The sequence below is a fragment of the Homo sapiens genome, chromosome 4 (genome assembly GCF_000001405.40).
Source record: "Homo sapiens chromosome 4, GRCh38.p14 Primary Assembly".
Lineage (NCBI taxonomy): Eukaryota > Metazoa > Chordata > Mammalia > Primates > Hominidae > Homo > Homo sapiens.
Window position 1 is genome coordinate 3322872 of NC_000004.12, and position 26186 is coordinate 3349057.

General features: G+C 46.0%; 1 protein-coding gene and 1 pseudogene across 14 annotated transcripts in view; one reads left to right on the forward strand and one right to left on the reverse strand.

Moving 5' to 3' along the window:
* RGS12 (regulator of G protein signaling 12) overlaps positions 1-26186 on the forward strand; it is a 154023-nt gene that overhangs the window by 36981 nt on the left and 90856 nt on the right. For all 14 annotated transcript variants that reach the window (NM_001394155.1, NM_001394154.1, XM_011513543.3 and 11 more), the window contains one exon: positions 20066-20182. In NM_001394155.1, the coding sequence (NP_001381084.1) occupies positions 20066-20182 (117 nt within the window). The remainder of the gene's footprint in view (positions 1-20065; positions 20183-26186) is intronic.
* On the reverse strand, positions 1054-1911 carry RPL7AP29 (ribosomal protein L7a pseudogene 29; annotated as a pseudogene).

Genomic DNA, 26186 nt, shown 5'->3' on the forward strand with positions numbered 1-26186 from the left:
GAGGACTGCTGCCCGCAGAAGGTTGGATTTGCAGGAGTGAGTTCCTTCTCAACTGTTGCTTACTGAGATAAGACCATTAACAGAGAATGGAGAAATACCTTATGGGTGTACTGGAGTACCCGAGAGCTACATCTGAGTGAGATAGTGGTACCTGCATCACCTGAAGTACATCTGAAAATCGCGCTCATAAAAAAGGCAAAATACAGAAGCCTCAAGCCCGTGAGCAGCGCAGTCTGCTGTCCAGGGTGGCGCGTGCCCCTCGGTGGGAGGACAAGCCAGGGGCGAGCGGGAGGACGAGCAAGCACCAGGCTGGGGGGCCTCTCCCGGGAGGGGTGCCGTGGCGCCTCGCTCGTGTTGGTGCAGTTTTATTTCTTGCGGTGCAGTGTGTTGGTGGGTGCTCATCATCTCATTCTCCACCATTTGTTCATGACGACATACCCAAAGGTACAATCACAGACACAATGCGAACAGCACTGTAAGAGTCAGAGCCTTAGATGCTGCTGCTGCCTCTGCCCCGCTCCGCGCGGGGAGCTGCAGTTCAGAGTTCGCTTCCTTTCATGGACTTACTCTGTTTGCACAGGCTCTTGGATATTCTCTTCCTTTTCCTTCCCTTTATTGAAAATACATGTGACATACTGCTGTGAGTTACTTTTTTCTAAAACAAATTTCTCATGTACATAGTTATATATCAATTTTAAAAACTCTTCTTCATTGTAGTGGCCACGTGGTATTATGTCATATGCCTGTGCCATTTCTTACTGAATCAGTCCCCAGTTGATGGCAACCTTAGACTGTTTCTATATTTAATAATAAGCTGGATTGCAGTAAAAATTCTTAAAGTTCTATCTTTGTATATATGTGAGTTTTCTTTTGGGTAGGTTCCTAGATGTGGAATTGCTGTTTTTAAAAGTGTATGTGCATTTTAAAGTTTGCCAAATTGCTCACCAAAGAGGTTTTCTAGTTTATATTTTTGTCAGTAGTGTGTGTGTGTGTGTGTGTGTGAGAGAGAGAGAGAGAGAGAGAGAGAGAGAGAGAGAATGCCCCCTTTTTTATTGAAGGAGAATTTGTGTTATTTTGATGTACAGAAAACTCAACAGTGTTCATTTCACCCAGTTTATTGGCAGGTTCTGTGGCCTTTGCCTTTTCCAGCTTGGCAACGTGAGCCACAGATTTTGGTCCCAGAGCTAGCTTTCCCAGCGATGGCAGATCTTGTCATATCTGTTGTCGTGGGTCTTGATAGCTTCCACCAGCTTAGAGCTCCCTTGTCTTCCAAGTTAACCTGTGTGAAGGCGACAGTGGAGCAGACTCGTTGGTCCTGCGGGCTTGACGCCCTCGTCAGGCCTTCCCTTGACAGTGCGGTCGGGAACCCCCATCTCAGGACGCAGGCAGGCAGGAAGACAACCAGCTCAGTGGGAGCCACGTCACGTGCGATCACCACCCGCTGAGCCTTCTCGTTCTCCACCAAGGTTGTGACAGTATCAACCCCTGCTGGAAGGACAAGTGGTCCATCTCTTAGTGGGGATGTCCCCTGTGCCAGTGCTGTCTTTTAGTCCAGGCCAACAGTCTCTGCTTCTTCTCTTGCTTGTCTCTGGTTGGTACTGTGGGCCAGCGTACGCCATTGGGTAGCTGCCTGTGGCCTGAGGCCTGGGTGAACCAGTCAATCACAGGAGGTGCTTTCAGCCATTCATGGAGGATGGCCCTTTGCCACTGCAGCCTGATACAGCAGGGCCCTTGACAAAGTGGGCAAGGTCCCTGTAATGGCTGGACGTCCTGTCCACTGCAGAAATTCTTAGGGCTTTCCTCAGACGTCCATCTTCTTGGCCATCTGCTGCTGCATGGTGGCAGGGGCCAGGGCCTCCTCCTTCCCTTTGGCCTTCTTCCCTTTCAGCATCTTAGGTAGCTGGAGAAGAGGCCCTTTTCTTCCTACCCATGTAGCTCTGGAGTTTTATCAGTGTTTTATTTATTTGCCAATATGAGAGGAAAGAAATAGTGTTATTTAATTTCTTAAATTGAGCAATTTTGTATCTTAATAGACCATAAATATTTCTCTTATTGTCTACTCCTGATTCATGTACCTTGGCCATTTTTCTACCTGATTGTAGGCCTTTTTCTTATTGATTAGTAAGAGCTCTTTGTATGTAAAAGAAATTAGTGCTTTGGTCAAAATATTTTAAACTAGTTATAAAAAAATCTGCCAAAGGGGAAAAATTGAAAATGAATGAATTTTTGGTAGCTGGAGGTCAAATAGAGAGTGGGAATTTTCTTGGGAGGAGTTTTCTGAAAGGTGATTTATGCATGCTTGGAGGGTAAAGGATAGGATTCCTTGGTTCAGGAATGCGGCTTAAGTTTTATTTTGATTTGTTTGATATGAACCTTGGCATAAAATCAATTAGTAAATTTGGTTACTTTTATAATTTATTATATAGATTAAAAGCTACATAATAGGGATATGCTATGGTTTGATTGTTTGTCCTCTCTGAAACTCATGTTGAAATGTAATCCCCAATGTGACAGTATTAAGAGGTGAGGCCTTTAAGAGGTGATTAGGTCATGAGGACTCAGCCCTCATGAATGGCAGAATCCATAATCCATTCATCCTTGATAGCTTGTCACAGGAGTGGATTAGTTATCAAAAGGGTGGGTCTGAATAACGAGCAGTGAGATTGAATCAGTAACAAAAACATCTCCTAACAAAGAAAAGTCCAGGGCAAGATAGATTCACAGCCGAATTCTACCAAACCTATGAAGAACTAGTACCAACCCTCCTGAAACGGTTCCAGAAAATGGAGGATGAGGGATTTCTTCCTGACTCATTTTATGAGGCCAGTATCACCCCAGTACCCAAATCAGACAAGGACACAACACCAAAAATACAGACCAATATCCCTATTGAACATAGATTACAAATCCTCAACAAAATACTAGCAAACTGACTCAAGCAGCACATCAAAAAGATAATACGCTATGATGTGTTATGTGCCAGGGATGCAAGGATGGTTCAACATATGCAAATCAATAAATGTGATATATCCCATAAATAGAATTAGGAACAAAACCATATGACCATCTCAATAGACATAGAAAAAGCAGTTGGTAAAATTCAGCATGATAAAAACCCTCAACAAACAAAATATAGAAGGAATATAGCTCAAAATAGTAAAGGCCATCTATGACAAACCCACAGCCAACATCATACCAAAAGGGGAAAAGTTGAAAGCATTCCCTCTAAGAACTGGAACAAGACAAGAATGCCCACTCTCATCACTCCTATTCAACATAGTACTGGAAGTCCTAGCCAGAGCAGTCAGGCAAGAGGAATAAATAAAAGGCATACCAATTAGAGAAGAGGAGGTCAAATTATCGTGGTTTGCTGATGACATAATCTTTTTTTTTGAGACAAAGTCTCGCTCTGTCACCCAGGCTGGAGCACAGTGCTGCTATCCTAGGTCACTGTAACCTCAAACTCTTGGACTCAAGGGATCCTCCCGCCTCAGCCTCCCAAGTAGCTAGAACTACAGGTGCATACTACCATGCCTGGCTAATTTTTAAATTTTTTTGTAGAGGTGGAGTCTCACAGTGTAGCCCAGGCTGGTCTCAAACTTCTGGCTCAAGCAATCTGCCTGCCTCGGCTATCCAAAGTGCTGGGAAGTGTGAGCCACCGCCCCTGGCTAGATGTGATCTTATATCTAGAAAAACCTAAAGACTTGACTGAAAAACTTAGATTGGTTAAACAAATTCAGCAAAGTTGCAGGATACAAAATCAATGTATAAAAATCAGTAGTATTTCTTTATACCAATAATGATCTAGCTGAGAAAGAAATCAAGGAAGCAATCCCATTTACAATAACTACAAAAATAAAATACCTAGGTATCAATTGAACCAAGGAAGTGAAAGATTTCCACAAGGAAAACTACAAAATACTGATGAGAGAAATTGCAGATGACACAAACCAATGGAAAAACATCCATATTCATGGATTGGAATAATTAATATCATTAAAGTGACCATACTGTCTGAAGCAATCTACATATTCAATGTAATCCCTACCAAAATACCTACGTAATTTTTCACGGAAGTAGAAAACGCAATCCTAAAATTTATATGGAACCAAAAAAGAGCCTGAATAGCCAAAGCAATTCTAAGCAAAAAGAACAAAGCTGGAGATATTACATTACCTGACTTCAAATTATACAAGGCTGTAGTAACCAAAATAGCATGTTACTGGTATAAAACTAGACAACAAAATAGAGAACCCAGAATTAAAGCCACATATTTACAGCCAAGTGATCTTTGACAAAGTTAACGAGAGCATACAATGGGGAAAAGACATCCTTTTCAATAAATGGTACTGGGAAAATTGGATTGCCCTGTGTAGAAGAATGAAACTGGACTGCTATCTCTCACCATACACAAAATCAACTCAAGCTGGATTAAAGACTTAAACCTGAAACTATAAAAATACTAGAAGAAAACCTAGGGAAACTCTTTTGGATGTTGGTCTAGGCAAATAATTTATTGTTGAATTCTCAGAAGTACAGACAACAAAAACAAAATTGGACAAGTGGGACTTAAAGAACTTCTGCACAGCAAAAGAAATAATCAACAGAGTGAACAGATAGCCTGCAGGATGGAAGAAAGTATTTCCAAAATATGCACCTGACAAGGGTCTAATATCCAGAATATATGAGCACTCAAACAACTCACAGCAACAAAATAACGCCATTAAAAAGTGGGCAAAGGATACGAATAGACATTTTTCAAAAGAAGATATACAAACGTTCAACAGGCATGTGAGAAAATGCCCAATATCACTAATCATGAGAGAAGTGCAAATTAAAACCACAGTCAGATATCATCTTACCTCACTCAAACAATAACAGATGTTGTCAAGGGAACTCTTATACACTGTAGTTGGGAAGGTAAATTAGTACAACCTCCATGGAAAACAGTATGTAGATTTTTCAGAGTCCTAAAAATAGAGCTACCATTTGAGCCAGCAATCCTACTACTGGGTATCTGTCTACCCATAGGAAAAGAAATCATTATATCAAAAAGATACCTGCACTCTTCTGTTTATTGCAGCACTATCCACAGTAGCAAAGGTATGGAATCAACCTAAGTGTCCATCGGTGGATGAATGGATAAAGGAAACATGGCATCTATACCCAATGGAATACTATTCAGCCATCAAAAGAATGAAATCTTGTCTTTCACAGCCACATGGATGGAATTGGAAGCTACTGTCCTAAGTGAAACAAGTCAGATACAGAAAGACAAATCCCACATGTTCACATTTATAAGCGGGAGCTAAATGATGTGTACACATGGATGGAGAGAGTGGAATGGTAGAGAATGGAGACTTGGAAAGGTGAGGGGTGGGAGGAGGGGTGAGTGATGAGACACTTCTGAATGGGTGCAACGTATGTTGCACAGACTGTGCATAGACTGCACAGACTTCAGCACTGTGCAGTCTATGCATGTATAGTAACAAAATTGCACTTGTACTCCATACGTTTAAACAAATACATTTTCATCGTATCTAAGAAAACTAGAGAGTGGGTCTGTGAAGAGCCAGTTTAGCTCCCTCAACATGCGATGCCCTGTGCTACCTCAGGACTCTGTAGAGTCCCCGCCAGCACGTAGGCCCTCACCAGGTGCAGTCCCTTGACCTCCAGGACGGTGATGAATACATTTCTCTTTTTAAAAAATAAATGACCTAGTCTCAGGTATTCAGTTATAGCAACAGGAAATGGACTACGACTATATATACATACACACAGTAGGGATAGAGAGATACAGGTATAGATATAGTAGTTTTGCAGTTAGGTAGTAATGCAGATGGTAGTGAGATTTCTCTTACTCTAGGGTTCTACGCAAAGTCAGCCGGAGCTGTGTTGGGAGTGTTGGTTTATAATTTTCTCCTGTAAACTTAGAAAACTTTTGACCTGGCTGCCCTGGTTCTTCAAACTACATGCGACTGTGTCCTAAAGGAAGCAAAGTCATGGGGTGTGTGGGCAGCTCTGTGAGCAGAGTGGCCATCTGGGATCTGTTACCTGGCCTGACTTTTCCTCCCCCTTGTCTACTAACCATGTCCAGTCTGGATGGGAGGTCACAGGGTCACCTTTAACTCCAAGGGGAAGTTGTCAGGCCAAGAGGCTCAGCTGTTGGATTCCAGGTTGGAGAGCTGAGGGTTCCGATGAAAGGCACAAAGACCGAGCTGCACACTGCGAGCATCAGTACTTCCTTTCCTACCCTCCCTGTGAGAAATGCCTGAGCTGTGGGTCAAGAAGAGGAGAATTGGAGAGCACCAGGGGGTCAGGTGGGTGGGAGGAGCCTTCACATTCCACTTTGAGTTCCATGGTGGCCCCGATGGAAGCTGCCCTCATGTTTGGGACCCAGGAGTGCAAGAGATCTGTTTTCTTTGGTGTGTTTAGAACTTGGAGGGGGACTGCCCCATAGAAGGTGGGAGTGGGGTCAGGGCAAGGGATGACTCTGAGTGGCATGAGAAGTTCCTCTGGGCTCCTGGGGGTCACAGAGCTTGAGAGAGTGTGTTGCACAGGACAGTAAATGTGCTCATGGGCCTGCACCCAGGCCAGGCAGTGGGAGAAGGAGATGAGCACAGGACCAAACCAAGTGACACCTGAGAGGCTGGTGGCCTTACCCTGTGATGTTGAAGCAACAGTTACACAAACGTCCCCTCATACACTGAAACTGCAGGGAGGGGAACAGTGCGGCGCACCCGAGAGGGCTTGAGTGTGATGCGACTGAAGCACTAAAGAGCAGAATTGATGGAAAAGTTAATTTGACTGTTTACTTAGAAATGACTGAATTAAATCTGTATCAGGTGTAATTTTGGCTTAGAGTTAGAAAATCAGATTGGGTTATATAAAATAAAGGTACATTTTAAAGTTAAATGTCTTACAAACCTGAGTCCATGAGTGCAAAATTTCAGTCTATTACGTTTAGTTGAGGAAGGAGTAAGAGAAGGAATTCCTTTGCCTTTTTAAAACAAATTTTCCCTTTAAGAGAACACAGTGATAAAACTGTTAGGTGCAGCTTTTGGGAGTCACTGATCTTATTGCATATCAAGCTTCCTAATAATTTCTAGGACACATGTAATCGTGAGGCTTTATAGAAGCAGAGAGAAGCTGTCTGCCAAGTACACCGCCTGGTTCTTTCTTGCTGTGTGAGGATGTGCTCTGGCCCAGATTTCACATGGGAGGTCTCTAAGCAAATGCACCTGCTTACATCAGTCACATGGAGGAAGCTGTTGACCATGAAGTATCTCCATTTTGTACTCTGAGAGCTGCATAGTTTATATGGCATTTTTCAGGGATCCATACTCCATAACTCCTAGGATTCCAAGTTTATTTACTGTGAGCAATCCTAGACACACCAAGTACATCCCGCTGAAGGCATTCCACAGATAAGGATTCTCCTGCTAGCAAATATCCTTGGGTTTGCCAGGAGGTCTTTCATTAGCAAGTTTACAGGGAGATTTGATTAGGTCACCTTTCTTGTCTGGGGTAACCCCAGTTAAAGTGAGAGAATGGACTACAGGCTCCTCCTCCTTGCCTTCTTCCTTCACTCAGGGAGAGAAGATACCTGTACTAGAAGGGCGTGAAGAATTGTGATCCAGGATCTTATTGGCAGCCTGTTCGCAACAACAGCACCTAGAACAGTGCCTGGCAGTTAGAAGGCACTTAATATTTTTTTTGATTGAATGAAATTGTCTGTTGACAATGGAGTAAAAAAAATGTAGTATTTCCATACTATGGGATCCATACACTCATTTTAAAGTAATACGAGTTTCTATGCTATAACAGCACAAATTAAAATAATAGTGGTTTAGATAAAGAAGTATAGTTTGAGTAAACCCTCCAGAGCTGGTGTGGAGGCTCCACCCTCCTCAGGAACCCAGGGTGCCTACTGTTGTGTGGTTGCTGCTCTCCACATGTGGCTTTTGCCCTGAACTTTGAGATCGCTCCTTTAGCTTCACTTCCCCATTTCCTTCAGCAGGAAGAGGGAGGTGGAGGCACAGTCTGGAAGTTGCACACATCTCATTGGACAGACTTAGTCATGTAGCTTTGCCTAGTGCAAAGGGCTGGGAGATGTAGTCCTTAGCTGGACAGCCGTGTGTCTAGCTAAGATTTCTATTCCTGTGGAAGAAGGGGAGACTGGTTCTTGCAGGAATGGCGAGCAGCCTGTCACGCAAAGCGGATCAATACATTACTGATAGGAAAAGCTCCCAAGGGCATATCGAGTGGAAAATGCAAGTCACAAAAACACATATATTTAATATCCTGTTTTGGTGTAAAAAATTCTAACACCCCTCAAAGAAACCTATACATTTTAAAGTGCACATATGTTTATATGTAAATATATGGAAAGAATACAAAGGAAACACTCCAAATGGGTAATAGTAGTTATCTCAGAGGTAGTAAATGAAAACTGGGAAGAATCCAGGGAATTTTTATCTTGTGTTGTTTCAACTTCTTATGATGGGAATATGAACATATTTACTAAAAAAAAACTTCCTTTGAAGGAAAAGTAAAAATTATTTAAAAAATTATTTTAATAAGAACAAAGTCGGTGAGAGATGGCCTTGGAAACAAACTGTACTTACATGGTGTAGCCAATGACAGGCTCCTTGGATTGCAGGCCAGGAGAGTTTCAGGTTCAGCACATAGATTTTACGCTGCTTTTCCAGTACAATGAGAGGAAGTTTCAAAATAGATTGTAAAAAAAAAAAAAGTGTGGATAATTCTAAAAGGGTCACAGCTCAGGCCCCATGATGTAAGTCTCTCTGGGAAGGGTGGCGTTGGCCATCACGCTGTGTAAACAGGGATCCCGGGGGCCAGCATCGCACTGCTCTCCATCCCCAGCGAAAGGAAGGGAGGCAGACACTGGGCAGCGGCACTCGGAGTCCACCCAGTCCTGGGAAGGAACGGCGGCTCCAGGGAGAGGAGCCTCATGGGCCTGCGGCAGAGCTGGGGACCTGGGGCTTTGTGCCACCTGCACCAGGTGACCTTTCCTAGTCCCTGCAGCGTTTGCCCATGGGTTTCATCCTGACCACGGCCACCGAGTGCGCTCTCTGGGGAATGGTATCGCAGTGAGGACAGCTTCAGGCCTGTGGAGGGGCTGGGAAGCAGTGGACAGAAGCCCCCACCGTCCTGGAATAGGGCAGGGGCTCCCTGAGAAGCTGGGATCACTAGGACAGATGGCTTGGGGGCCATGGAGGTAGAGGATCCCTGAGCAAAGGGGCAGAGACCAGTGTGGCCCCTTCACTGTTGGCTCGTGTTCTATGGGGTTTCCAGGAAAGTGAGACTGTTCAGGGCAAGGTGGCCGCCACATCCCTGCAGAACCGGAAGTGTCTTAAGAGTTGGAATCGGTGGCGGTGTATTGATTCGTTTTGCTGCTGCTTCAGTTTTATAGAAATGGCTTAATAACACAGTTGTCTGCAACTTGTTTTTAATCACTTCATGTTATTTCAGTGGTTTATCCATGATGTTATTGGTAGTCACAGTCTGTTCATTTTAACACTGTATAATCCATTGTGTGAATCTACTGCTACATACACAGAGCCACTAAAGAATTACTCATAACGCACTAGTGAGCATTCTTGTACCTGTCTCCAGGTAGGCTTGCCAGACTTTTAAATCTTTTGCTAATCTGGGAGCTGTAAAGTGGTGTCTCATGTGGCTTTGATTTGCATTCCCTTGCTTATAAGGCTCTGCGTTTCCTCTCTGTTGAGGCGCCTACTCAAACCTTTTGGTCCCTCTCTCCTCTTGGGCTGTCTTTTCCTCATGGACTGCGGGAATGATAGACGCTGGCTGTTAGTCCCTGGCTGGTTGTGCACTTCGCACGTGTCCCTGCCCCGGGCATGACTCCTGTTTTCACTCTTCTAGCCAGATGTATAATCTTTTCTCCTATGGTTTACACTTTGTGTCTTTTATATATGTATATTTTTGAGATGGAGTCTCACTTTGTCACCCAGGCTGGAGTGCAGTGGTGCGATCTCGGCTCACTGCAACCTCCGCCTCCCTGGGTTCAAGCGATTCTGCTGCCTCAGCCTCCCGAGTAGCTGGGATTACGGGCACATGCCACCACACCTGGCTAATTTTTATATTTTTAGTAGAGACAGGGTTTCACCATGTTGGTCAGGCTGGTCTCAAACTCTTTTTTTTTTTTTTTTTGAGACGGAGTCTCACCGTCTCCCAGGCTGGAGTGCAGTGGCGCGATCTCGGCTCACTGCAGGCTCCGTCCCCCAGGGTTCACGCCATTCTCCTGCCTCAGCCTCCCGCGTAGCTGGGATTACAGGCGCCTGCCACCTTGCCCGGCTAATTTTTTGTATTTTTAGTAGAGACGGGGTTTCACCGTGTTACCCAGGATGGTCTCGATCTCCTGACCTCGTGATCCACCCGCCTCGGCCTCCCAAAGTGCTGGGATTACAGGCGTGAGCTACCGTGCCCGGCCTGGTCTCAAACTCTTGACCTCAAGTGATCCTCTCCCGCCTTGGCCTCCCAAAGTGCCGGGATTACAGGCGTGAGCCACTGCACCCGGTCTGTGTCTTATTTAATACATTTATTACTACTTGAGGTCAAAACAGATTTTCTCCCTTTTTCCCCTTAAAGTTTCTTGGAGTTAATGTTTATGAAAAGAATCAGGTGAGACGAAAGTTAACTTTTTTCTCTGTGGGTAACCAGTGGTTCTAGCACTAATCTCGTCCTTCCACGTGGATCAGCAGTGCTCCCTCTGTCATGGATCATGTGTTCATGTGCGTGTGGGTCTGTTTCTTAGTTCTGTGTTCCTTCCTAGTCAGTATCCCCACCTATACTTTAAAAAATTACTATAGCTTTATAATACGTCTTTCTGTCTTCTAGGGCAGGTTTTCTTGTCTGTGCTTGGGCCTCGCTGTTTTATGTAGATTCTACAACCAGTTTACAAATTCCCCGAAATGCTATTGATATTTTGTGTTTTAATCTGTAGCTCAGTTTGAGGGAATTGATATCTTTAGGAGATCAAGCCTTCCTATCCATGAAAATAGTATCTCTCTTCTCTCTCATTTTGGCTTATTTCAGTAAAACTTTGTAATTTCCTTCATAAACATCTTTAATTAAATTTATTCTCTAGCTAGATTTATTTCTTGGTACCTTATAATTTTATTTGCCATTATAAATGGTACCTTTTAAAAATTGTAAATGCTTCAACCTGAGGAAGCTGGTTGAAAAAGGAATTAAAATAGAATAAATTATGCATGCCAGCTCTTATGATATGTGGAAGTATAATTGACTAGTTGCTTTTTATATCTAGCTACCCTATTAAGGTTAAGAGAGTTCACTTCGTTACTACTTGTTAATATTTGTTTTCATGAATAGGTGTTAAATTTTAGCTGTTTTCTTTGTTATTTTGCATTCATTGAGATCATGTTTCTGCCTTTTGATGCTAACATGGCAAATTACAATGATTGATTTTCAAATAATAGACCATACTTGCATTCCTGAGATAAACCTAACTTATGATCATTTTTTATACACTGATGTATTTGGTTTGCTACTATTTTTGTATAATTTTAAAGTCTGTGTTTGAGTGAGACTATCTCGTACTTTCCCTTCTCATTATCTTTGTCGAGTTTTGGTATCAAGATTACTGTAGTCTCACAAAACAAAAAATTAATGGTAGAACTTTTCTATTCCTCTTCCTTCTCTTTTCCCTCCCTTTCTTCTCCTTTTCCTCGTATATTGAATCTTATATTTTATTTTTATCCTCCCTCCAGAGGATTTCAATAACTTTTTATTTAAAAATTTTAAAATTAGGGATAAAGCCTGTTTTGTCTATTATTAATCTGGTGAAAGCAGCCTTTTCTGAGTCAGCACTCGTCTTTTTATTTAAACTTTTCCATTTCTGTTTTCGAATTGTTACTATAAGTGGCAGATTGTTCTGACAGCTCAAGAAGAAGATCAGGCAGATGCGGGTCACTGATGTGTTGGGTGACTGGCACATTGAGTCTTGGCTCTGGGATATTACTGCATTCTTCCTGTGAATCCACTTTTTCTAGGTTCTCCCTCCCTGCTTTCTTGCCTTATGTTTTGTTTTGTTTTGATTTCAAGCCTGGTTGGTTTATTTCCTTAGTCCACACCCACCTCCTTTACCGGTGAAGAAATTATGTGCTTTGTTTCTGTCGTTAAAGGTTCTAGTCCTAGTCAATTGCTTGGGACATCATAGGCCCTAAGATATTTTGGAATAATTTAAATTAATATCTCTACTTAAATGTCTTTTCATGTGTAATATTCATCTTTTTCTTTCTTGAATAGGACACCCAGTCTTTGTGCACATTTTTCTCCTTCCTTTCACAAAACGTGCTTTGCTATGACCCAGAAACCTTTCTTTGGTTCCTTACACGTTACTCTGTAACCATTGCTGTAAGTTTGTCTAGTTTTATGTTTGAAATGGAATTTTGTTGATTCTAAAATAGTTTTGCTTTTGGGCTTGGAATTCTTCCTGCCGCACAGAGTTTTGTAACAGATTTAACCAGGTGTGCCGGTTACTCAGCTTACTGCCCTCAGCCCTAAGCCCACCCTCTATGACACCGACAGGGTCTCCGCATCACCTTCCTGCTCACAGCTGCATCCCTGTCAGGCTCTGTCCCCAGGGGCGCTCCCCGGAGCTGGCAAGGCAGGAGTGTCACCATAGCAACGTTTCACCCTCACAGGGGCAGTTCCTTCCCCTCTCAGTTTGCAGTTTGCCCAGCTCATTGCGCCAACCTTCTGGCCCCTCAGAAACAATGGATGGGCTGGGTGCCATGGCTCACACCTGTAATCCGAGCATATTGGGAGGCCAGGAATTGGAGGTTACAGTGAACTATGATCGTACCCCTGCGCTCCAGCCTGGGAGATAGAATGAGACTCCCAACTCTAAAAATTCGAAAAAAACTGGGCCGGGCGTGGTGGCTCATACCTGTAATCCCAGCACTTTGGGAGGCCAAGGCAGGCCGATCATTTGAGGTCAGGAGTTCGAGACCAGCCTGGCCAACATAGTGAAACCCCGTCTCTACTAAAAATACAAAAAAATTATCCGGGCATGGTGGTGCGTGCCTGTAGTCCCCGCTACTTGGGAGACTGAGGCAGGAGAATTGCTTGAATCTGGGAGGTGGAGGTTGCAGTGAGCCCAGATCGCACCACTGGACTCCAGCCTGGGTGACAGAGTGAAACGCTGTCTCAACAAACAAGCAGGCAAACAAACAAACAAACAAAACCCAAGGGCTGGAGCCCCATGTCCTGTCCCTCGGTGGTCTGGGCCCCAGCTCCACCGGCTGTTTTCCTGTGAGCTGCCAAGTTGGAGTAATTCCTTCTGCTTCCCTGCATTTTCCCAGCCCTGGGGTGGCAGCGGCTTCCCGAGGTTGCTACTCCATGGCATCTCAGAGTCCCTCTGCCTTTCCATCCCTCAATACCAAGCTACCCCTTCTCTACATAGTACTCTCTGTTAGAACTACGGGTGGTTTCTGTCTCCTGAGTGAACCCTGAAGAATATAGCAGGAGATGCGAAGATGTGAGCTAGAAATCTGACTCCTCGTAAGTCTCTATATTGCCTCTTTTTGGAAATACCTTCGGATGATCTGGTCTCTCTTTTAAGCTACATACTCTCTTGTGTACAGTCTATTTGTTCAGTAAGTATTCATTGAGTACTTGGTATGCACCAAGCACTGTGGGAGGGGTGGGGGTGTAGTCGTGACCAGGACATGGTCCTTGCCCCACTGGGGCTTAGGGACTAGTGTTTATTTAGACCGAATTGGTTAGGAATTTTTAGTTCTAGCAGTGTGGGTAACGAAAGAAAAAAATACATAAATTGCATTACATCAAATGTAAAAACTCTACACATTAAAAAACGCAACCCACAGAATGAAGGCAACCCACAGAATGGGAGAAAACATTTGCAAGCCATGTATCTGATATGCAGTTAATATGCAGAGTCTATAGAGAACTCCTATAACTCAGCAACAGGAACAAACAACCCAGTTAAAAAATGGGCAAAAGTCCAGTGTGAATTCTGTGAAGTAGAAAAGAAAATAAAGAGAAATTAAAATAAAAAAAAATGGGCAAAGATCCAGTGTGAAACTGTGAAGTAGAAAAAAAAATGAAGAAAAAGAAAAATTAAAAAATGAGCAAAGGACTTGAATAGACGTTTCTCCAAAGAAGATACACAAGTAGTCAATGGGCACGTGGAAAGATGCCCAACATCATCAATTATTAGGCCAGCGCCAACTAAACACACAGTGAGTCAGCACCTTACACTCCTTGGGATGGCTACTATAAAACAACTGCCACCACCATCACAAGAGAGAAAAATGACCCGTGTTGGGCAGGATGCGGAGGAGTTGGAGTCCTGGCGCACTGCTGGGAATGCCAAGTGCCGCACCCACCATGGGAAACAGTGTGGTGGCTCCTCAAAAAACCAACAGTACAATGACCACATGGCCCACAGTCCTACTTCTACGTATATACCCAAAGAATTGAAATCAAGGTCTTGAGGAGATGCTCTTTATACACATGTTCATAGCAGTATTATTTGCAATAGCTGAAAGGCAGAAGCCACCCAGATGTCCATCATCAGGTGACGGATAAACACAGTGTGGTCCATCCATACCGCGGAATATTATTCAGCCTTGAAGAGGAAGGCTACAACATGGATGACCCTTGAGGACACCATGCTCAGCAAAATCAGCCAGTCACAGAAGGACACACACTATCTAATTCCACTTATGTGGGATTCCTAGAGCAGTCAAATTCATAAAGACAGAAAGCGGGAGAGGGGGCCTGGGGGAGGGGAATGGAGAGTGCGTGTTAAATGGGGGCAGAGCTTCGTTCTGGGAAGATGAAAAATTCTGGAGGACGGTGGTGATGCTTGCATAACAGTACGAACACACCTAATGCTACTGAGCCAGCTAACTTGGTAAATTTTGTGTTATCTGGATTTTAAAATCAGATTGAATAAATATTTTGAAAGTTTAATAAAAAACGGCAGTGCAGTAGTACAGCAGGAGCTGGGTGTTGTCTCAGGTCAGCCATGAGCTGTGTGACCTTGCACGGACTTGCTTCCCTGACTTCCCAGTTCTCATCTGTGGATTGAGGCGTTGGAATGGTTCTTACGCCAAAATGATTCTTTGCTCCGAACTGATGGTCGCATGGGATGATTCACTGTTTTGTTTTAGACAGAGTTTTGCTCTTGTTGCTCAGGCTGGAGTGCAGTGGTGTGAACTCAGCTCACGGCAACCTCTGCCTCCCAGGTTCAAGCGATTCTCCTGCCTCAGCCTTCTGAGTAGCTGGGATTACAGGCATGTGCCACCATGCCTGGCTAATTTTGTATTTTTAGTAGAGACAGGGTTTCTCCATGTTGGTCAGGCTGGTCTCAAACTCCCAACCTCAGGTGGTCCACCCGCCTCGGCCTCCCAAAGAGTTGGGATTACAGGCGTGAGCCACTGTGCCCAGCAATTCATTGTTGGCACTGAGAGTGGCCAAGAAATTTGGTACCTGAGCAGGGGTTAAGGTTCTACCCTTCCCCTCCCCTCATTTCTAGCGGTTTTACTTTGGAGGGAACCCGATGCTTTTCTGGGCCTGTGTGTGGTAGTAATGCCGGTTGACCGGCCGTCCCTTGGGACCCTGTAGCCAGGCAGGTTGATTGGCCTGAGGCCCTTGGTTCTCCCTGAAGCCGGCTGGCTCAGGCTGGCTCACTGCATCCTGGATGCCTGGGGGCCAGGGTGACCGGCCTCTGTGGTTGGCGGGCGGGCGGTGTCTGCTCCACTCAGTGCCCTTGAGTGCTGGGTGTGGTGGCCGAAGGCTGGGAGGTGGAGATGGTGCCCTGGGGGCCACCTGTCTTCTCAGACAGTCGTGAGGAGTCTTCTCAACTTAAAAGCTGGAGTTTGAACCAAGTGGTCTTTTAGGCCATTTTTATTGTTGTTTTCCCTGTTTAGTACTCTTTGGGGAAGAGTCAAGATTATGTCACACCAGCAGGGGTGCTAAATCGGCGGTGATGATCTGAATTTATTAATTTACAAAACTTTGTCAATTTGAGAAACACGAGTAAACGCTGGTCTCTCCCTGCTGTGGAAGTTGTCACATCTGTTACTGGCCCTCGTTCCATGAGTTGATTTAGTGCTTTGCAAGAATTGTTTTCTGTCTGCTTGTTAGACTTTTCCTTTCTCCTTTACATCTCCAAAGTGCACAGTGCATCCACGTGTGGGCAGGCGTCAGACATCCTTTCTTTTGCCTGTGCTGGGAACAAGTTGCAAGGCTGACTGTGGAAGGGCCGCTCACCTGGGGCGTGGTCAGGGCTGCCAGGTGTGGTGGCTCACACCTGTAATCTCAGCACTTTGGGATGCTGAGGTAAGTGATTGCTTGAGCCCAGGAGTTTCAGCTCAGCCTGGGCAACATAGCAAGACCCAGTCTCTACAAAAAATACAAACATTAGCCGGGCCTGTTGGCACATGCCTGTGGTCCCAGCTACTCAGGAGGCTGAGGTGGGAGGATCACTTGAGCCTGGGAGGTCGCGGCTGCTGTGAGCCATGATCATACCTCTCCCTCCGGCCTGGGCGACAGAGTGAGATCCTGTCTCAAAAGAAAAAAAAAATTAAACTCTCTTATCACTGTCCATCTAAATAACAGAGAGAGGCTCTCTGAAAGAAATGATGTTTATCTGGGAGCAGGGCATTGGAGTAGGCAGATACTTGCCATGGTCTACAGTGCATAGCTGGGGAGGCCAAAGAAGACAAAGGCTTTTAAAGGAAAAATGAGGATCACATGATTGTTTTGAGATAATTATCCTTGCCACAAGGATCAGCACCAAGGATGATACCAGGCTGGAGGTGGGCGGGCGGTTGCTGGGCAGATGTCCTCACAGTGTGTTTTGAGTGAGGCTGTGATGGCCTGTGTGCATGGCTGTGATTTGCACATCTTTGTGATGGATTTGTTTTTCGCAGGCACACTAATGTGTGAGCCCTCCCTTCATGGCCCTCCCCAGCTCTGTTTGTTAGGGTTTTTAACACAAGTGATTCATTTTGATTCTGACAGCCTTAATCTCACAAAGCCATGGGTTCATTCCCCACCCTTCTCAAGAGCAGAAAATACAGAATAGCAAATCTATAATGAGAACAAAGTCACTCATTGCTTTAGCAGTGGACTGAACATTTCCCGTTATTGCTGTTGCCGCAACACACGTCTGCATGCCGTACAGGTGCCCTGCGCTCCCCATTGTTGGGCAGTCAGTCCCCCGTGTTGTGGCCTCCGTGTCGTGTGTCTCATGAGCACTGCCCAGCGCCTTCTCAGGCCTCCCCTCTGCCGGGGCCGCACACCTGCCAGGAGCCGGGCGCTGTGCTGGGCAGCAAGTTTTCAGACAGCATCAGACGAAGCGAAGGGCGCTGCTGCTGTCGTCCCATGGCAGTCCCCTGGGGGAGATTCCTCATGGCTGACAGCGGTGTCACTGGTGGGAAGGAAAAGACCCAAAGACTGGGAGAGAGGACGCTGGGGAGTCTTAACTTAGACGGGGGCTTAAAGGTCTCTTACAAGAGGGGTTGTTTGGGTTGAGGGGTCAGGGGAGGGAAGAACATGCACAAAGGCCATGAGGCGGGCGCCCGGGGTGTGGACCCAGAGCGTGGACACGGACGCCAGCCTAAGCAGGAGGGAGCGGGGGTGGCAATTTATCAGTCACCACAGAAGAGCACGCTGGCAGGACACTCAAGGTGCCTGCCATCAGGAGCAGAGACACCAGGAAGCCACATCTGTGTCCTAATGGGACCACAGGTTCCCTCCAAAGAGTGTCTTACAGGCTGATTTACAGAAGGCAGGAGCTGGCGGGAGCCTGAGCTGAGCCCCATGGGAGCAGCAGGCAGGTGCAGGCAGGTGCAGGCCGGTGCAGGCCAGTGCAGTCCGTTCTCCAGCCTCGGAGGCACGGCGTGCACGGGGGCCTGCTCCTTAGTTTGAAAACAAGCAGTTGTGCCACTAGTGCCTTGGAGTGAGCTGGCAACTGTGGCGCCTCAGCTTGGAGTGTGCTTGACACCTGTGTTGGCCGGTCCATCTGGCACCTGGCCGCTGTGCTTCTAGGCCTCTGCCTGCCGGCTGCCCTCTGCTGGGCATCGCCACTTTCAGGATGACAGCCTTAGAGCCTTCTCTCGGCCTGGTGGGGGCCCAGTGGTGGCGTCCCTCCCCGAGCATCCTCTCGTGTTCCCGGCAGCCACAGCCCCTGGGTGCTGGACCTCTCACCTGCCAAGAGGATAGTGACACCCCTCTGCCCGTCTTTAGGGGCTGTGGGCGGAGGGGAGGGTGGAGAGATGGGGGTGTGGGCAGGGACAAGGGTCGAGAGATGGGGGTGTGTGCGGTGGGGAGGGGACAAGGGTGGAGAGATGGGGGTATGGGGGGAGGGGACAAGGGTAGAGAGATGGGGTATGGGGGGAGGGAGGGTGGAGAGATGGGGGTATGGGGGAGGAGGGGACAAGGGTGGAGAGATGGGGGTACGGGGGGAGGGAGGGTGGAGAGATGGTGTGGGCGGAGGGGAGGGTGGAGAGATGGGGGTATGTGGGGAGGGGACAAGGGTGTAGAGATGGGGGTGCGGGGGGAGGGAGGGTGGAGAGATGGGGGTATGGCGGGGAGGGGACAAGGGTGGAGAGATGGGGGTGTGGGGGGAGGGAGGGTGGAGAGATGGGGGTGTGGGCGGAGGGGAGGGTGGAGAGATGAGGGTGTGGGGAGGGGACAAGGGTGGAGAGATGGTGTGGGGGGAGGGAGGGTGGAGAGATGGGGGTGTGGGGGGAGGGGAGATGGGGGTGTGGGGAGGGAGGGTGGAGAGATGGGGGTGTGGGCGGAGGGGAGGGTGGAGAGATGAGGGTGTGGGGAGGGGACAAGGGTGGAGAGATGGTGTGGGGGGAGGGAGGGTGGAGAGATGGGGGTGTGGACAGAAGGGAGGGTGGAGGATGGAGGTGTGGGCGGAGGGTAGGGGCTGCAGAGGCCCCGGGGTGTGGGGTGGTGTGGGGCTGGGCCGTGACAATGGGTGGGGTAGGAAGGACTTTTCAGTTGAGGAGGAGCAGCGCAGTGCAGGGAGACCCAGGCGGGAATGGGTCTGAGGACATGATGGGGTGTGTCAGCGTGGTGGTCAAGGAGAGGGGAGAGGCGGGAGGGTGGCCTGCTCCATCTGCTTCCAGAAAGGTGCAGGCATGCTGTAGGTTTCCCTAGGGACTCTCAAGGAATTGTGGCAAGGTTTTCTACAAGACTCTTATGCAGGTGGAGAGACAAAAGTAGCTGCAGAGCCTCAAAATCTTGACATAAACAGGTTCCCTTCCTTCAAGCCTGAAATTGGTCACTTAGGATTCCAAGTCCTCAGGAAAGCAGAGCTCCCAACTGTGATGCTTTTTGTTTTTAAGAGGTGGCGACTGATTTGCTGGAGCCAGCTTCTCATCTGGGGAAGTGTCTAGCATAATGATGGGCACAACATAGATGTTTGTCGAATTGAATTAATTCTGGTCATTTCCTGGAGGAGGAGAGACAGGATGTTTTAATAGCCAGTTATTTCCTGCGCCGGAGTTGGTTGGGTCTTCAGACACCAGCTGAATGCTTAGGGATTCTTTCATTTCCTAAAGTGCTTACAAAATTATGAAAAAGCACGACTTTGCTGAAAACCTGCCTTCATCTTTACTAATCATCATACTAGTCATCTTTACTCTCAGTGTACTGTGTCCACTTTCCAAGCACCCTTGCACGTGATTTCATTTGATCTGGGTAACAGCCTTGTGGGTGGGCTGCCGTCATCCTGTTCTGTGTTTACAGAGGTGGAGGCTTTGTCAGAGGCACACAGTTGGCAGAGCAAATACTTGACGATCCTGGGATGACTGTTTTTTTTTCAATTTTGCATGTTTTTCTTGTATAAAATATACCTAAGATTTACCCTGGGATGACTTTTAAATCTCTCTTTTTAAAAAGTCTTTGTTCCACAGTATTCCTTGATTTTCTGCTATGCCATGCATTGGACAAGACTAAACATCTCTTTGCAAAAGAATAACCTGATGCCTTTTTTCTTCGTGTTTAGGGCTCAAAATTTGGGCGGGGAACTGGACTCACTCAGCCTTCTCAACGCACGTCTGCTCGGAGATCATTTGGGAGATCCAAGAGATTCAGTATCACTCGCTCCCTTGATGATCTTGAGGTAATTTAATTTTCATTTTTCTTCTTTTCTCCTTCAAGTTTTAAAAAATGCAAGTCCACCTTGCAGATACGTCTGGCTGTTTTTTGAGTCCCTGTGGTCCCCTCCCCTCCTCCTCTGTAGTGGTAACCCCTGTTTTCTGGGGGACAGCGTCCCATGCACATTTGGGAACCTTTCTACCCTGCAATGTGTCTGAGCTGTCACAGGGCTTTCTGGGGTGCTCTTCTGTGTGCCAGACTCCAGTGAACACTTCTAGAAATGAGCTGGTTTAATCCCCACAAATACTCTACGAGGTAGGGCCTGTCATTGCCCCCTTAAAGACGGGGCGTGATCCACAGACATGGGTAAGTGTCATTTTGTGTGGCTCGTCTATCTGTGTTTCTTTTGTAAAGAACAATGAAAAGATTTTATTTTTTATAGCAGTTTTAGGTTTACAGAAAGTACAGAGAGTTCCCTTATGCCCCCACCCACTTGTTAAAAATGCGCCGTCGGGATCATTACGTCCTGCATTGGTGTGGGTGTTTGTTACAGTTGACAGGCCAGTGTAGACATATGATTATTAGCTTAGGTCCGCAGCTCACACGAGGGTTCCTGCCCGTGCTGTCCTCTCTGTGGGTTTGGACAAATGTCCGTGCCGTGCACCCACCGCTGTGTATCACCGAGAAAGCCGCCGCCCTGGAAATCCTCTATGCCCCACCTGTTTACCCTGCACCCTCCCGTTGAACTCTGACAACCACTGATCCTTTGACTGTCTCATTTGGCATGTTTTAAAATTTTATACAGGTGCAGCTGTATTCTATGTCTTCTTATTAATGTCTTATTCTAGAACATGTGTCATGTTTTCAAGATTTACTCCTGGACTTTCAGTCCAGTCCTTTTACTTGTTGTATGGCATTCTGCTATGAGTATATGACGATGATTGATGCCTTCCGCTATCGATAGACACTCAGTGGGAGTGGGAGAGAGTCTGCCCTTACGGCATTCTTGTACATGTCTCCTTCAGCGCGTGTGGGACGGGCGAGAGTGTTCTTAGCTGGGAAGGATCTGCATGAGCGGTGTGGCCAGACTCCGTCCACAGTGACTGCTCCAGCTCCTGCTCTTCCAGGAGAAAAGGTGGCTTCAGGGATGGCAGGGGTCCTGGGGATTGGCACGTTGTGGCTGCAAATAGGAATCTGCCCTTGGATGGCCTGTTTAGCTTTGGTCTCTCCGGGGAACTCGAGGGCAGGTCAGGGCTAGCGTGCTGTATCTGGGCGGGCAGCAATCAGAATCGGCTGCAATGGGGTGCTCATGCTGCTGATGAAGACTCAAAAGGGGTGTGTGCTACCTAAGGCAGGGCCTAGCTTGAGGCTGAGGACCCCGGGACCATTTTTGGCTCATACTGCCATGCTGAGCTGACCATCTGTGCACAAGTCCTGTTCATTTTCCTCCTTTTCTGTTGGTCATGAGGAACTCACTGTGTGGCCCTAGGTTTGGGCTGACAGAGCTGTGCTGGTGCCCTGGTGAATGATATGTGGGTCTGGGCCACGTGCTCTGCACAACCTGCCCCTTCCCTGCTGGGTGTAAACTTCTATCTCATGGTGGATTGCTGCTGGGTGTGCCCCATGCCAGGGTCAGTGCCATGCTCCTGATAGACAGCTCCAGCGTCTAATCACTGGGTGTCCCCAGTGGATGCTCCATCTCCACCAGGGCCCTGCTGCTTTCCACATGGCTTGTGGTCCCTGCTGTCTTTGCCCCACACCTTAAACTTCCTGGCTGTAAATCTCTTACTGGGGCCAAGGAGGATGGCCCAGGTGGCAGGGCTGCCTGTCCTTTTCTGTGTGGGCCCTGCTCGCTGCTGGCTGCCTTCCATGACTCCTTGGAGAGGGATCTGAGCAGCCTTCCCAAGTGAGGGGTGGTTTGCCTCTTGAGCCCATCGTCCTGAATAACACGGAGGAAGGCTCTCTGTAAGAAAACGATATTTATTAATATTTGGGAATAGGCATTGCAATGAGAATATGCATGCTGTAGTAAACTATGAATATTCAGGGAGGTCAAGAAAGACAGCAGTTTTTCAAGGAAAAATGAGGAGGATCACAGGATTGTTTTGAGATAATTATCTTACAAGGATGGGACCAGTCCAAGGTTGGACAGGCAGTTGCGGGACAGATGTCCTCAGAGGAATATTTTTGTATGTGAGGCTGAGATGGCCTGTGTGCAAGGTTGTGGTTTTGCAGTCTTTTGTGATGGATTTGTTATCAGGTCTATGAGCATGAGAACCCTCCCTTCCTGGCCTTCTCTGGCTCTGTAACACTTTGTTAGGGTTTTTAATACAAGTGACTCCATTTTCTTTCTGACAACTTTCACATTTCCCCCTTTTAATTGAGATCTTTCTCCAAAAGCATAGCTGACCAGTCATCCTGCAGTCAGGCTTTGATTGCCCCTTGGTGCTGGGATGGAGCTGTCCCAGTTTGGTGTGGTCTGGTTCCACATCATCAGGAAGTGACTGGTGACCAGGAGTCAGTGTCAGAGCTCATTTAGCCACATTTGAGCAACCAGGGAGGTGTGGAGGGAGTGGCCCTCAGGCGCAGTCTACCTGAGTCCACTGTTAAGTACGGTTTTGTCTGTTCCATGGGTGTTGGCATCATCTCAACGCGCTGGGCCAGCACGATTCTGTTAGGAGTTGTACTTCTGCAGAGACTTAAGCAACAGATAAAAAATTTATAAAGGGAAAATGCAGAGTGAAATTAATAATAATATGACAATCCTAGTTTGCATAATGTTTTGAGTCATGAACATAGGCTTAAAGACAACCAGTTGAATAAATCAAATGACCATAGGGAATTGGGTGAGACTTTTTATAATATATGGCCTGTTTCCTTTTTTGGTGTGTGTGTACTTTTTCCTTTTTGTGGAGAATGGGGTTTCTCATGTTGCCCGGGCAGATCTTGAATTCCTGGGCTCAATCTGTCTTCCCGCCTCTGCTGAGATTACAGGCATGAGCCACCATGCCCCGACCTGTTTTCTTATTTTGGGTATATGGTCCTTAATTTTCCCAGAAGAATTTATCCAGGTATAGCAGGTAGTATCAGCAATAGCACAGACATTTCCTTCTTTACGCAATGGATAATTTAGAGCAATTTTATCATCTAGTGTCCCATGACTGAGTTGGATTAAAGCAGAGTGAGCACCAGTTGTATTAGGGATGTTCCCAAAGTCACCCACTAGGGGGACTCAAGGATCTCTTAGGGTTCTATCTAGTTCCCAGCAGAAGCTACTGATTGTGAAATTTCGATTACACCATTATTCTGCCGAGTCAAAAAGGTAGGCATTAAGAGGGGTAAATGTGTCTTTATAATATGGACTCTTATTCCAGTGCCTTGGAGAAGCTGCCCACAGCATGAAGCTGTCGGCTTCTAGTCCTGTCTTGTGGTCTAAGTGTCTCTGGTTGTGGCATCAGTGGTTTGGTGAACTCTTGGTGTGGCCCACGCATCAGGAATGGGATTTTGTCCCTTAACATTTAGTTTCAGCTTATAGGGCTTCAGGAATAGAGTAGTTCTCTGCTTTTAGTGATTCTATGGGAGAAAGTTGGATGGGAGGAAGCTGGAAGAATTGAGGAGCTTGGAAACAGTGCACAGGGCTCCAGTCTAATAACAGGAGTATTGCAGCTTTTCTTCAGAAACATGGCTGCTTCTCTCTACATTGATCACACAAGAAAAAAATCACTCCGATTTTAACAACCTCCTGAGGCTGGGAAGCCAAACCAAGGCAGACTATAGATTTTGCCTACAGTCTTAAGGTTTCTGGGCCTGATACGAAGTGACAGTTTTTACTTACCCGCTGTAAGTCTAGGAACCCTTGAAGCAGGGTATTCTATGCACGTTCTCAAATTTGAGATTCCAGACAAGGCATTGGGAACAGAACCACTGGTCTCAGTTGTATCCTGCTACAAAGAGGGAACAGATTTTTTTTTTTTTGTAAATAACCACATTGCCATAAGAATACATGTGAACAGTTTCCAAATTTTGGAGGGATCGAGTAGGGAGAAAAAGCAAATGTTTTTACTTTTGTTTTCACAGAAGTATACTTTACCAGATTGCTGTAAGTTATAAACAGTTTAAGAAAGATAACGTTCTGGCCAGGCACGGTGGCTCACGCCTATAATCCCAGCACTTTGGGAGGCTGAGGTGGGCGGATCACAAGGTCAGGAGATCGAGACCATCCTGGCTAACGTGGTGAGACCCCGTCTCTACTAAAAATACAAAAAATTAGCCGGGCGTGGTGGTGGGCGCCTGTATTCTCAGCTACTCGGGAGGGTGAGGCCGGAGAATGGCGTGATCCTGGGAGGCGGAGTTTGCAGTGAGCCCAGATCCCGCCACTGCACTCCAGCCTAGGCAACAGAGTGAGACTCTGTCTCAAAAAAAGAAAGAAAGAAAACATCCTTAGATCTGGAAAACAAAACATTTAAGTAAAGAACCAACAATGTTTCAAATAAAAGTCATAAAAACATCTCATCAGTTATTTAATCTCATGTAATTAATTTTTGTTCTGCTTGATCTTGATAAGTAGTTTCACAAATTCATCTGTTTCCTTATTAGAGTTCTGAAGAATTTTCAGTTAGTCTGTCGATCTTAAAGTTATTAGAAACCTGTATTTAAGAGTGCTTCTTAGAGTCTTTTCCATGAATCTGATTGCAAATGCTTTTAGAGAAAAATCAAAACAATAACAATGGATAAGGAAAACAGAATAGCTATGGTTTAAAATCTGGTGGAAGTTCATTATAATTAGCAATTGACAAGGAAATCTGGCTATTTCTGTAGCATACAACATAATAACTAGAGTTATGGCATATTAGGTTTCTGAGAGTTTTATACAATTTTGGAACATTCCTATAAAAACACACCCATAAATGTAACTGAAAGAAGGTCTAGCATCACGTATCATTTTACAGTGTTTTTTATACAATTTACCAGATAAGCCTAATCATTTACCAGACGTACCAGATAAGTCTTTGTAAGATGAGAGATACGTCCTTTGAGGCTCTCCAGAAGCTTGACTGGAAAATACTAAAGCTAATTATGGGTCAAAAAGATTTAATTTAGAATTTATATCTTGGGGAAGCCCATCAAAGATGCCAAAAGATTTAAAACGCCTGATCAAAACAGGAGCACAGGTCACTATTAGATAATAGTCATTCATTTAACCAGAATGAGAAAGACTTCAGAAGCAACACAGGGAGTTCCATGAATGTAAACAAACAACCCACTCAAAGCTCAGTTTTCCTACAAAATAAAAAACTTAATAAAGACAACACAGGAAATTATCTTGATAAAACATAAAATCTTTGTTTCGTAGGCCAGTTACCAAAAAGGTAAAGAAAAACCTCCTGTGGTGTGATTGCTTCTCCTCATGGGAAGCCCGTTTGGTTTGCCTGGAAGTAGAAGCTGATGAAAAGTACTTGAATTTAATGAGACATAGGAAGAGGGTGTCCAGTATTACGAGTGCGCACCGTATTATAGAGGAATGTCAATGTGACAGTTAGTGGCTTGAGCAGGGCAGTACAGGGCTCTAAGTCACAGTATGGGAAGTTTTCTGGTTCCATGGAACAATTCAGACACATCCAGAAAAGCCGAATGTACAGAATCGAGTTATACAGGCGGAAAACAGTGCATCAGACCATAGTAACACAGTTAAAACTGGAGAAAAAAGTTCCAGGAGCTGACAAAAAAGTTGAAGGAAAGAGTCCTTGCCCTAGCCAAGCAAGCAGCTGCAGCTTCTCAAGGGGAGAGAGTGGAAGGCAGTGATATGCGGCCAGCAGGTCACACGCAGCAAGGCCAAGCCCAAGCCGAGGCTGTCAGATTCACCTGGAGAGGAAGACCCTGCCTGGAGAAATGAAATTGCCATTCTAAATGAAGACAGCATTTCTAACCTCATACGAGGGAAATTAGATGGAGACTAAAATAGAAAAAAGCTGCAGTTCAGAAGCTTGTTTTATAAACATACTTCAGAATTAAAAATCAAAACGTCCTGC